General features: G+C 39.4%; 1 long non-coding RNA gene across 13 annotated transcripts in view; it reads right to left on the bottom strand.

Moving 5' to 3' along the window:
• Positions 1 to 14,229, bottom strand: part of LOC105375523 (uncharacterized) — a 459,019-nt gene that overhangs the window by 251,554 nt on the left and 193,236 nt on the right. For 11 of the 13 annotated variants that reach the window (NR_187954.1, NR_187953.1, NR_187955.1 and 8 more), the window contains one exon: positions 10,999 to 11,160. The exons of the other annotated variants lie outside the window; for them this stretch is intronic. This is a non-coding gene — a long non-coding RNA (uncharacterized LOC105375523). The remainder of the gene's footprint in view (positions 1 to 10,998; positions 11,161 to 14,229) is intronic. 13 annotated transcript variants of the gene reach the window in all.

Below are 14,229 nucleotides of genomic sequence, written 5' to 3'. Positions count from 1 at the left end.
TGTGAAGAAACAAAGAATAAAAATGTGCTAATCTGAAGCTTGCAAATGTATTGTTAAAACTCAGTAACAACTGCAGCAATTGTTTAGAATTTAGAATAACAGATTTTTTTTCAGGGAGGAACATTTTATCACAAGCATTGTGACACTTGATAATAAAAACAGCACCTCTTATTTCATTTTAGTCTATACAGATAATGCACTGTCTTATTGCTAGCTGTTCCTGAACCCCACTATTGGGATGGTGTTGACAATACGTATGTGTTGAATGGCTCTAAGACTGTCTTTTCAAGCAGACTTCTCTCCTAAATTTTTGACTTGCTTTTCTTTGTACATTTTCACTCCTCTGTTCCTCTGTGGTTCTGCTTTTTTTCTTTCTTACATTGGTGAATGGTGCCAGATTATACTGAGTGCCTCAAGCCAAAAATTTGAGATTCCTGTCTCCTCGTTCCTCCAACTAGACACAAAAATGTTTATTTTACCTTCTAAACATTACTAGAATCCATTCTCTACTTCCCCATTCTTACCAACCTGGACTAATTCAGCACTTGAACATTCTGTCCAGGACCAGTACAACAGCTACCTACTCAGTTTCTCTGACTTTTCATTTCTTACTGTAATCTCCCCAAACTTCTCTAAACCACTTTAAAAAAATGAATCTCTACTGCAAAGGATTACTGTGAGGTTTAAGTAGCACGTGTAAAGGGCCTGGTATAGTGTTTGGCCCATAGAAGATGTTAAAAAATGTTAGTTTTCCTTCCTAAAACATTGTTTGGCATTCTACTGCTTACAAAATCTGAATATTTTGAGAGAAAGTAATTGTATTTTGAGACTAAGTTAATGAACCATAATTTTATGTGCATAAAGAGGCAAATTATGCTGGTAATTTCAGTTGTATAAATGCAACATAATTCAAACTATTCCCAAACTCATTTTTATTATCAGTAACAAACATTTACTAATCATTACCCTGCACACACACATATACACACACAAATAAGTTCTGGATATAATGACATAGATATATAGAGATACAAGAAAACATTTATGCTCTCAAGGACTTTATAATTCCATCCACACATATAACTTATCAGTGATGCGTAAGTGTTCATGAATACCACAGCCATCCGTGAAAGAGACAGAGACAGAGAGAGATGGAGAGAGAGAGAAATAATCCACCAAACTGGGGACATCAGAGTATTTATGGAGGAGAGAAACAAAGATGCGTCCTAAAGGAAAACTATGCAGTTATACCCAGGTAAGAAAACCAGACATAAGTACATTTTCTGTAACCAAAAAAAAAAAAAAAGCCTCAAAGTTTTGAGATAAGAATGCTAATAAGACATATGACCCAGCTTGAAAAGGACATAGAATTCATGAAAAGACATAACAGAGGGGAATTTGGAAAGAACAACGAGGCCAGTATGTGGACAGAATTAAATGCCAGCATGAGGGCTTTTCTTTGAAAGTAACAAAGCATCAACACGGAAACTACAATCGCCTCCTAACTGGTTGCGCTACAGTTGGTCACTCCCACTATAATTCACCTTCAACTTGATGTCATTGTGACCTTTCCAAAACCTAAATTTGACTATGGCATGTCCTTGTTTTAATTCTTTTTTATGGGTCTCCAAAGAAGATACACAAATGGCCAATAAGCAAATGAAAAGATGTTCAACATCACTAATCATTAGGGAAATACAAATTCAAACCACAGTGAGATTCCACCTCACAACCATTAGGACAGCTACTATCAAAAAACAAAAACAAACAAAAAAAGTGTTGAGGAGGACGTAGAAAAATGGAATCCTCGTGCAATGTTGGAGGATATTTAGAATGGTGTGGCCAGTATGAAAAACATTATGGCATTTTCTCAAAAAATTAAAAATAGAACTACCATGCGATCTAGCAATTCCACTTCTGGGAACACAGATGGTCTCAGACTTCAGATGGTTCAATTTAATGATTTTTTGATTTTACAACAGTGTGAAAGTGATATACATTTAGTATGTTCCTTGACTTACGATGGGGTTATATCCCAATACACTCATCTTAAATTGAAAATATCAAAACACACTTTCCATTTACAATGGGTTTATCTGCACACAGCCTCATCGTAAGGCGAGAAGCTATCTCTGTAACCAAAAGAACTGAAAGCAGGGTCTGGAAGAGATATTTGCAAACCCATGTTCATAGTAGCACATTCACCGTAACAAAATGTGGAAGCAACCCAAGTACCCATCCATAGACAAACAGATAAACAAAATATATATACTTGCAATGGCATATTATTCAGCCTTAAAAAGGAAGGAAATTCTGACAAATGTTACCACGTGAATGAACCTTGATGACATTACACTAAGTGAAATAACTCAGTCACAAAAAAAAATACTGATTCCACTCATGTGACATACCTAGAATAGTCAAAATCATAGAGACAGAAAGTAGAATAGTGATTGCCAGATGCTGAGGGAAGAGGGGAAAGATAAGTTGTTTTATGGGTAGAGTTTCCATTTTGCAAGATGAAAAGAGTTTAAGAGATTGGCTGCACTATTTATAATAGCAAAGACATGGAATCAACCCAAATGCCCATCAATGATAGACAGGATAAAGAAAATGTGGTACATATACACCATGGAATACTAGCAGCCATAAAAAGGAATGAGATCATGTTCTTTGCAGGCATATGGATGAAGCTGGAAGCCATCGTCCTCAGCAAACTAACACAGGAACAGAAAAGCAAACAGCGTATGTCTCACTCATAAGTGGGAGTTGAACAATGATAACACATGGACACAGGGAGGGGAACAACACCTGTTGGGGGTTGGGGGCAAGGGGAGGGAACCTAGATGACGGGTCAATAGGTGTAGCAAACCACCAAGGCACACGTATACCTATGTAACAAACCTGCACGTTCTGCACATGTATTCCAGAACTTAAAGTAAAACAAAAATTAAAAATACATTTTAAAAAGAAAGACTGGCTACACAGCAATGTAAATTTACCTCATACTACTGAATTATACACCCAAAAAATGGTTAAGATGGTAAATTTTATGTTATGTGTATTTTACCACATTTGAAAATAAAATTTAAAGAAAGTTCTCTTCCATAGGCTTCCAGCAACAGCATGAGTTTTAAACTCTGTAGCATGACATACAAAGCTTTTATGGTCTCACTACTTCCTATGGAAGAGAAGTAAGCATAACCAAAAGCATTCAGTTATGTTTGAGTTCCAGAAAAAGAAAAAAACAGCAGAGTCAAGAATCATTTTATTTTCAAATATATTCTGCAGTGGGGAAATAGAATGGCTCTTGTCATAAGAAAATCACAAATTGAAGTTTTTGTAATGTTGGAATACAATGCTTCTTTAAGAAACAGTAAAATTACTGTTTACATCAACTGATGCAATTTTTGAATCATTAATTTTCACAGTAACCATTGTTTTATGACTTATGTTATTTATTCAAACGATGTTTCACAAGCATTTGGAACTAGGGAATCTTGTAAATCATACTAATATGTGTAACAACAATGTAAACTAAAAAGTTTATACACAAAGACGATTCTTATCTTTTCCCCCTGCATGTCAAAAGCTTGACAGAAGTTCTCAATCTAGTTGGCACACACTTTACTGATTCAAAGCTAATTTCCATTTTTAAAGTGCAAAGCCATATTTCTGATCTTATGTTTTCTTCTAAAGAGGAGCATAGATGCTTTGTTTCCAGTTTCTCATGACCAGCCATACAACCTAAACTGTGGGTCTTGTATTCCAGAATACCAAAGGAGTTGTCCCTCTTTTGTGTTCTCAAAGGGACCCATACATGCTTGTAAAATGTCCCTGATTGATTTTTATTCAAATTGTTGCTGGTTTGTGTAGCTTCTCTGAAAGAATATAAGCAAGGAGCAGGCAGAAACTGTCCTCTTGATGCCTGTATCTGCAGAATTAGCACAGAACTTGTTACTTGGGAGATATTCAATAATGTTAATTTAGCATAATTGAAGTGGTAAACTGAGTAATAAATTGGGTATTCAGAAAGCTATGTTTTAGGAGCATTAATCTGGCCAAAATGTGTAGGATGAATCAGAGGGCTTATATTAGTTTGCTAGAGCCACTGCAATGAATTCCCACAAACTGAGTAGCTTTAAAAAACATTAATTCTCTTAATGTTTTAGAGATCGGAAATCCCAGATCCATTACACTGGGCTGAAACTAACATGTCAGCAAGGCCAGGCTCCCTCCAGAGGTTCTAAGGGAGAATTGTTTCCTTTCCTTTTCCCGAGCAGCATTTGTAGTATTGCTGGGCTCATGGCCTCCTTCCTCCATCTTCAAAACTCTCTCTCTTGCTGGCTTCTCTCCTTCTCTTTCTCTTCTTCCACTCTCTCTCTCTTGCTCTTCCTTCCTCTTTCTCTCAGTCTATCACATTGCCTTCTCTCTTTTGTGTGTGGTTAAATCTCCCTCTGCCTCCCTCTTGTAAGTACCCTGTGTTTAGGTTTAGAGCCTATAAGGATAATCCAGAACCATCTCCCTCTTGCAAGATCTTTAACTCATCACATCTGCATAGTCCCTATTACCTTAGACAGTACCATTCACAGGTTCCAGGGATTAGGACCTGGTTATCCTTGGGGATCATTAGTCAGCCTACCACAGGTGTGTAGGGTAGAAACAGATCAGTTAGGAAACTACTACACTACTAACAATTAACTGCTGAACATGATTTCATAGCAGAAGAAAAGTAAAGCAAAGGATATGAGATCTGCTATGAAACAAGTGATAGACTATGGTGAATAATTAGACGTGGGAAGCGAGGAAAAGAAAGAAAAGCTGATTTCAAGGCTTTGAGTCTTGGTACCTAGGGAAGTATTGATGCTGGGAACACAATAAACATCAGAAAGGAAAACTGGGGTGATATGGGTTGGCTGTGTCCCCACCCAAATCTCATCTCGAATTGTAGCTTCCATAATTCCCACATGTTGTGGGACAGACCTGGTGGGAGGTAATTGAATCATGGTGGTGGGTCTTTCCTGTACTGTTCTTGTTATAATGAATAAGTCTCACCAGATCTGATGGTTTTATAAAGAGGAGTTCCCCTGCACATGCTCCCTTGCCTGCTGCCATGTAAGATGTGACTTTGCATCTCCTTTGTCTTCTGCCATGATTGTAAGGCCTCCCTAGCCATGTGGAACTGTGAGTCAATTAAACCTCTTTCCTTTATAAACTACCCAGTCTTGTGTATGTCTTTATTAGCTGCATGAAAACAGACTAGTACCTGGAGTGAAAGGGAGGGAAGAAAGAGAGATTTTAGTTGTAAGTATACTAACTCTAAGTTACAGGTAGACATTTACATAAATATGGTTTGTAGAAAACAAGCTTTGAGAACTAAAACTGAAAGTAAGGACCAGAAATAGAGATTGTGAAGACAGAATCATGGCACTGAAGGAAAGAGGGCTCACCAAGGGCAGAAAGAGAGAATGCCAAAGGTTGTGTCTTGTGTCTTTTTTTTTTTTTTTTTTTTTGAGACAGAGTCTCGCTCTGTTGCCCAGGCTGGAATGCAGTGATGCAATCTCGGCTCACTGCAACCTCCGCTTCTCGGGTTCAAGTGATTCTCCTGCCTCAGCCTCCCAAGTAGCTGGGACTACACACATGTGCCACAACGCCTGGCAATTTTTTGTATTTTTAGTAGAGACAGGTTTTCACCATGTTGGCCAGGCTGGTCTCAAACTCCAGACCACAAGTGATCTGCCTGCCTCAGCCTCTCAAAGTGCTGGGATTACAGGCGTGGGCCACCACACCCAGCCAGTTGTGTCTTAAAATGACCCACATTAGGGCTGCAGACAAAGGCTAGGGAAGGGAGAAAAGATACAGCCAGAGAAGAAAGGCAAGGACATCATTCAGAATCCCTGAAGCAGCCAGGGAAGGGAGCTTAAACTAGGAAGGCATTACCTACAGCCTCAGAAGCAAAGCAGTAGATAGGGTAAGGAGAATTGGGATGAGGAAAGACTCTAAATTTGGTGATTATGGGTAGGTTGGTGACCGCAAGAGAAGAATTCCAGAAGCTAAGAGGGTGCAGGAAGATGGACTGTGCAGGACTGAATGTGTGAGTAGTAATGAAAGGAAACAATGAACATAAACCAAACTTTGGGGAGGTTTGGTGCTAAACAGCAAAAGCAAGAGAAATACAAGATAGCTCCATATGAAAGCATAATCAAGGTGCTAACTTCTGAATGTCTGTGTTCCCTCAAAATTCATATGTTGAAACCTAATTCCCGACGTGACAGCATCAAGAGGTGAAGCCTTTGGAGATGATCAGATCATGAGGCTAGAGCTCTCATAAATGGACTAAGTGTCCTTATTAAAGAGGGCCAAAGGAGCTCATAGGCCCCTTCACCATGTGAGGACACTGCCGCAAGAAGGTGCCATCTGCCCACATCTTCACACCTTCGTTTGGACTTCCCTGCCTCCAGAATTCTGAGACATACACTACTGTTGTCTATAAGCCACCCCAGGCTAAGGCAGTTTGTTATAGCAGCCTGAATGGAGTAAGACACAGGGGGCATTTTTATTTATTAAGATAGGGGAATTCTGAAGTTGTTTATAGGGCAACGGATATCGCAGAGAGAAGACAGAATGTGGATATCAAAAGAAGCAAGCCGGGCTGGGCATGGTGGCTCATGCCTGTAATCCCAGCACTTTGGGAGGCCGAGGCGGGTGGATCACCTGAGGTCAAGAGTTCAAGACCAGCCTGGCCAAAATGGCGAAACACCGTCTCTACTAAAAATACAAAAATTAGCTGGGCATGTTGGCGGGTGCGTGTAATCCCAGCTGCTCGGGAGTCTGAGGCAAGAGAATGACTTGAACCCGGGAGGCAGAGGTTGCAGTGAGCCGAGATTATGCCACTGCACTCCAGCCTGGGGCACAGAGTGGGACTCTGTCTCGAGAAAAAAAAAAAAAAAAAGAAAAAGCAAACTGCAGAAGGGAGCAGTAAGATTACAAGCTGAGAGCAGAGCCCTGAAGAGACTCCTTCCCCTAGTAGAAGTACCAGGGTGTCCAGCAGATGGAGAGCATACCTGACGACCACCGTCACTGAAGTCTTTCCCCTCTGGGTACCGATTAGGAAGTCATCCTACTATTACAATATCCCTTTCACTCGCTGTTTACGGACAAAGCCCATACACAGGCCTCTGATTTTCTTCTGACTATGACACATGTGTAGACACAGGACTACCCACATCCTGCCAAATGAACAAGAAGTAAGAGATCTGCCGCAGATCTCAATTCAAACTTGACCCCTCCTGCCTCCTCTGCTGAGCCAAACATCCCCGACTGTGGATCCTGCCTGCATGGGTCTCAGCACTACTCCCTACCTGAACTTCCCTCCTTCAACTTGACATTTTGTCACAACCTGACATGTCTGCCAGATACCTCCCCCTTACCTGGACTTCTAGTCTTGGATTTCATAGCTAGGATTACTACATATCACAGGACCCCCATGTCCCAGCATAACACTTGAAGGCCTTGACAATATCTGGCCTGTCTGTGCTAAGTGAATTGAGGCATTGATCAATGAACCAGTGAATTTATTTCACAAAGTTAATCTGTATCATTCAGATCAAACATTACCAAAATTAAACTACTTTCCTTACATAAAAGTTTTTCAATGAAATTATTTGGACATTGGCTTCAACAACTTACTTGACTTCAGGATACGTTTTAAGAGTTCATCATTTGAATACAATTTCAATTTTGTTTGAGCCTGGCACATAATTGGCATGCCACAAATTGTGACGTGATAATAAGGGTAAAGCTGGTTATTAAATCAGGCTAATAACCAAGTGACATTAGACATTTATCTGGATGTGATGACATACATATGGTTCCTGTCACTGGGATATCTCCAGGGTAGAAGTGTTTATCTGCAGAATTGACAAACAGACCTTATAGGATCCATATAAAACCAAGTTTCTTAATTATGGACTCGTAAAATATCTGCTGGCACAGTAGGGCAAGTTTAACTGCTCATGAGAGGATGCCATTTGGAAGATAAGAGCCTTAAATAGACCATGATAGAAGAGAGAGGAGGGATTTTAAAGGGCTTGTCCCCATAAAAGGCAGACACTGTGAGGCTCACAAATCTGCCTGCAGAGAAGGAACTATTTAGTGTGAACTGGGATCCTCTCCCTTCATGCTGAGATACACTTGCTCTTTCAAGTTCTCTGCCTTTCAAACAAAAGGCAGAATTAAACCTTTTGAGGTCACCCCATGTCATCTATGATTACCCTAGCTTGGTGTTGAATAGCCTGTTTATCTGTAGCTTTTAAGCAGCTACACTATGGCAAAAAGAGAAAGACAAAACACTCGCATACACACACCACACACACACACACACACACACACACACATCCCTCTTATCAGAATAGACAGATGCAGAAACATATAGGCCAAAATAATTAGAGCAAAATGAGCTCAAGTTGGAACAAGCCTAGAGAAAAAATATTCCAGACATGCTAAGGGACGTTTTTCTCATAAAAAATGTGAGGACTCTGCCCTGATCCCCTCTTGAGGCAGACAGATAGTGTTGGCCCCTTCAGTTAGGCAAGGCCTGGGGCAGCAGGTGGATAAGAGCCTCTGCAGGCGCAGGTGCCAAGCAGCCTGGGTCTCCTTGGAAAAGGCAGTTCCTTGCTCCCTGCCTTCTCGTTGGTTCTTTACTTCCAAGCAGGAACCTGCTGAGGCCAAGGAGGGATGGAATCACCTAAAGAAGAAAAGCTTCTCAAATGTTTCATCTCAAAGCAAACACGGCTTTCACTTTTTGAAAAGAAAAAAAATAAGGGCAATTGATTTTTTTTCATTGTTGTTCAGATCATTTTTACCAGTCTCTCATTTGTTGTCGAGACACAAGTTCCCCTCAACCATCTCTGCCTATGAATGTCCCCAACAATATTAGGTATGAGGAAGAAGAAACACCACATCAGAGCGAGGCCTGAAGTTCACAATGTAAGAGGTTGCTGAAAAACTTTCCATGTTCTCCAGCCACAGTAAAAGAGAGTGGTTTACCAGACAACGCTGAGTGTTAAATCGACCGGGTCTCAGAGGACTACTGTGTCTTTGATCTGGTGTTGATACTATTTCAGAAAGGAGGGAAAGTTCTCAGCCTCAAGGAAATAACAGGAGGGCTGTGCTCAGTGACTCTTAATTCAGACTCAGCTCTAAAATACAGCACTAAGGAGAGGTGCCCTGGTCAGCTTCTTCCATGCTCTCTATGGATAAGAGCCTCAGACATAGTTTTATAAGACATTTCCATTTCCAACATCAGTTTTTAATCTGTTAATGGATAGACTACTGTTGTTGATAATAACTTTAACTTTTGTTAAAGATATAAACTATGCATTGTGTGAAAGCCGAATGACTAAAGGACAAGACACTTCTCCTCTTTGTATAATATTCTTGATTTTGTGTCTTATTGCTAAGGCAATATAAGCACATTAAGGAGGAATAGTTCTGTCCTTTACAGCTCACTGGGTTTAGCACAAAGCAGACGCTCAATTAAAAAGAAATGCTTAGTAAAATTAAACATGAGCTCTAATATCTAAGAAATACAACATCAACATATGTGGGTAACACTGAGTTTTATATTTCAAAGCAAGATGCAGTCCTATGTGTTGTTTGATTGAAACAACACTTCTTTTTTTGAGACGGAGTCTCGCTGTCACCCAGGCTGGAGTGCAGTGGCACCATCTTGGCTCACTGCAAGCTCCGCCTCCCAGGTTCACGCCATTCTCCTGCCTCAGCCTCCCGAGTAGCTGGGACTACAGGCACCCGCCACCATGCCCGGCTAATTTTTTGTATTTTTAGTAGAGATGGGGTTTCACCGTGTTAGCTAGGATGGTCTCGATCTCCTGACCTCGTGAGCCACCCTCCTTGGCCTCCCAAAGTGCTGGGATTACAGGCGTGAGCCAAAGCACCCAGCTGAAACAACTCTTTTTTTTTTTAAGAGACAGAGTTTTGATTTGTCACCCAGGCTGGAGTGCAGTGACACAGTCACAGCTCACTGCAGCCTCAAACTCCTGGGCTCAATTTATCCTCCCACCTTAGCCTCTTGAGTAGCTGGGAGTTCAGGTGCTAGACCCGCACCTGGCTCTAAGCAACTCATTTTATAAATGAGAAAACTGAGACCCCCTAAGATTTGAAGTATAAAATTTTCTAACTAAGGTTAGAAATGACCAGTTTGCAGATGACAGAATAACTATTCTGGGCTGATGTTGTTCATACCACTTCCAGAATGTTGCACCCTGTTTTAGATGCCAGGCTGTTAAGAGAAATTGATAATTCTAAATTACGTCCAGAAGGGAAAAGGACCTTGAGATAATCTCTTACAATAAATAGTTCGATAAACTGTGGCTACGAGATCTATAAGAGGAAACATGATGTCCATCCTCAAACATTGTAAAACTCATTATACTAAGAGCAGTTAAGCTTATTATTGCTGGGAATGCAAAACCAGGACCAATAACTGATTATCAGTGAGAACTGAGCTACAACAGCAGAGGTGTTCTCATGTAGTAATGACCTTTGTGTTCCTAAAGATGTTCAAGAGGAAACTAGACGTCAAATGTCAGAACCAAATGGTTCACAACTTAAGCCAAGCACTGTGCTAGGGGTTTAAAAATATTACATGTAGTTCTTCTAATGACTTATAAAGGTAGATATTAGCCTCAGTTTACAACTAGGAAACTGAGATTCGAGGTTAAGTAGCTTAACCAAGGTCATACAACTCACAAAGAATAGCACAAGTACCATAAGGAAAGTCTACAACATTTCAGAGGCATAAGGACCATAACAGCCCCTGGCTCTTCTTATCACTCTCACCAGGACTAGGTACTTAGGATTAAACCAAAGCAGGACATGAATTCCATCCCCTGCTAAATACTGACACTGGACCAAGAGTTAGTAAATTCATAAAGGAAAGTTGAAAGACCAAGTACCAAGCTCAGCATTTAAACTCACATCTCACAGACTCCAAAATCCAAAGTCTTCTGACTCTATTGGATGGCTGCAAGGACTTCCCATCCTTTTAATTCTTGTTGGATCTAAGATGCTTCAATTTTGAGATTACTCTTCCAAGATAAGAAGGTGACGTTTCCCAAAACAGTGGAGGAAAGCTGAAAACTAAAAGACGTAACAGTTAAAAATCTCTAACTAAAATTGTAAAAGGTACTATGATTCAATTATATATTGTGAACACTGTGTCTCCAGTAAAAGTCTGGTGCAGCTCAGATCGGATGCAACAAGAGTTTATTTTATTTTATTTTGAGATGGAGTCTCACTCTGTCACCAGGCTGGAGTACAGTGGTGTGATCTTGGCTCACTGCAACCTCCGCCTCCAGAGTTCAAGTGATTCTCCTGCCTCAGCCTCCCGAGTAGCTGGGACTACAGTCACGCACCACTATGCCCAGCTAATTTTTGTATTTTTAATTCAGCCGGAGTTTCACCATGTTGGCCAGGATGGTCTAGATCTCTTGATCTTGTGATCCACCTGCCTTGGCCTCCCAAAGTGCTGGGATTACAGGTGTGAGCCACTGCACCTGGCCGAGAGTTTATTTTATTGTATTCCCAACAGTCCAGCATATTTTTCTATTTATCAGGTTTTCAAATTAAACAGAAAAAAATGCTAAGGAAGTACTCTTGGCTATGTTTACAAACTTAACCTTAATCCCCCCCTTAATAGTGTTTTTACTAATACTATTACCAGATTTTCCTTCCCTGGTCCAGCAGAGTAGAGTAAAATAAACTTGGGTTGCATCAGGCCTCAGCTACTGTCTGTAGCTGTTATTGACTCACACTTGAGCTAGCTCAGGGGATAGCAAGGCTTCAATAGCAATTACTTTTTTAACTGATTCTGCTTTTTCAGGATAAAAGGATTTATTTTAATACTAAAAAGAAGTTATTTATAGATTAACATTAGATTTTATCATAATAACATGAACCACTTAGCTTTTTCTTAAGGACTTTCCTATTGCATAGAAAATGTCTTGATCTGGTTCTAATTCTATTCAAATCTTTCCACAGAGTTTTCAAGTAATCCTTATATAGGAAATAAGATGGTGTTACCTTACACTTCCTGCTTCAAACACCAGAAAAACCTGGAACTTTTGGAGCCATGGCCTTCTGTGAGAGTCTAATAAAAGGTACAGGTCTTGTCCCCACAAAAATGCACATAACACATCTACACAAAATCTTGCAAACATTTCCTTATACTGTATCAGAAAGTTTTCTTCACACAGGTGAAAAACATCTTGAGCTGAGTTCCCACTTTTTGACAACTAGCATGGGTGGCTGCCTCCAGCCTCTTCCCCAAAACTCTAACATAAACTACAGAAATAGAGAATATATATATCTAACCATATATCCACGTAAGTTATTTACGTGTGGATTTTTTTTTCTAAGTACAATAGGCATCCAATAGATGATGTGAGTAGCAGACAGATGTCTCTCTGTTGGAAGTCAACCTTTGACAAAAGCCACACTTCCATTGTCTTCCTCTACTCCAACCTAAAGCATGAAAGCATCATTTTTAGGACACATGTTATCACCAAGATATCTCTAGTGTACATGGGTTTTTTTGCTTCAGAATATAAAAGTTTCAGATGGGACAAGTCTAACTACTAGTAAAGTTTTATTCTCTGTTGATTGAGTTTTAGTCTCACAAAATTTAGTAAAAATGATTCTTGTGATCTAACAGTAATTTCAGAATGGACCCAAATATCCTGCTTCTTCAAGTTCACTAACTTTGTATTTCCACTGGCAAGAGCATTACACAAGAAACACTTGATTTTTATGTCCTATCATGCTGTGATGAGAAAAAACTGAGGACTATTTCAGCTTCATCAAGATTTTTCCTTATGTACATTATCTACATTAACTAGGCTTGATATAAAAAATAATACAATCAAAATGAAAGGGCTCTTTTTCTTTAACTCCTAATATGAATAATGAAAATAATACTGACCATGTAATACCAAAGCACTATAGGATTATTTGCAGTTTTAAGAAAAAGAACATAATTACTTTTTTTCACTAAGATATATTTTTATATACCTTCAAACACTTCCCTGAACCCCAGGCGAGGAGTCCTTATCCTAATAAGTTTTGCCATTAACAGAGTTTCTATGTTTTGCCATATTTTCCCATAAGAACAAGGATCAAATTTTCAGGAGTACATAATTTACTCTTTTTTCTTTCGTATTTAAAAAGCAACCAACTACTAACATAATGCAGGCTGCAAGTTCCTTTTGCAAGACTTTTTTAATTAATAAGTTTACCTTCTTCCTGTGTATAATATCAGATGATATGGAACACGTGTTACCCGCAATATCTTTAAAAGCAAACAAGAAATAGCATGGTTTTTTCTTCCTGTTTTAAAAATGATCAATTGCATATGTTCAAATTGTTCATTTCAGTGACTCATAGCTTTCCACAGCCAACTGCATAATTAGTGATAAGCAATAGCAATAGAGTTTATATATATGACATATGTTTATGTAGATATAAAACCATACTGCATTTTCTCAGGCTCTGTATTGCCACAAAAGAAAATTCTTGTTCCTCTATAAGGATGTCTAAGAGCAATTCTCTTAAAATAGCAATAATAATTATACCCACATTTCAGTCCTAATATGATTTCTAAATAGGGCAACATACCTGGTTATGGGCTCCCGGGTGCCACTCTGAAGCTACTTCCTGTTTTGTTATACATCGTTTTAAGGAAGGCCTTTACTCAATTCGTGTAGCCTTGCTCTGGCACAAAAAATGTCAGGAGGTTCTCATTTGGTGTCTATTCTCTCCAATATTCTGATTTGCTCCATATGATTTACAAGCATTTGGTAACTGTCATACCAACTACTCTACCAAAAGAACCCTGAAAAGTCCTACAGAGCCAGACTTTTGATCGTTAGCCATGTGACAAAGCTTTTTGCACCTGGGAAGGGATGGATTTGATAAACTGTCAAATACCATCCAATCCACAGGACCACAATGCCTTGGCCATTTCATTGCAAAAGATAACATAATGCATCCAAATTACAAAAGGGGAAAAGAATAAAGGCATGAAAGTTCTGCAATATTCTTAAACATTGCTCTTGTCCCGGTCAATTATTCATACTTATTCCTCTGTTATGTTTCTGTTAGAAGATAAACCTTGCCTTTCAGAGAAAGAAAATTGAAATTACATATTATAAA

The sequence above is a fragment of the Homo sapiens genome, chromosome 7 (genome assembly GCF_000001405.40).
Source record: "Homo sapiens chromosome 7, GRCh38.p14 Primary Assembly".
In the NCBI taxonomy this organism is placed as follows: Eukaryota; Metazoa; Chordata; class Mammalia; order Primates; family Hominidae; genus Homo; species Homo sapiens.
This window is presented reverse-complemented; position numbering and strand designations above follow the sequence as displayed.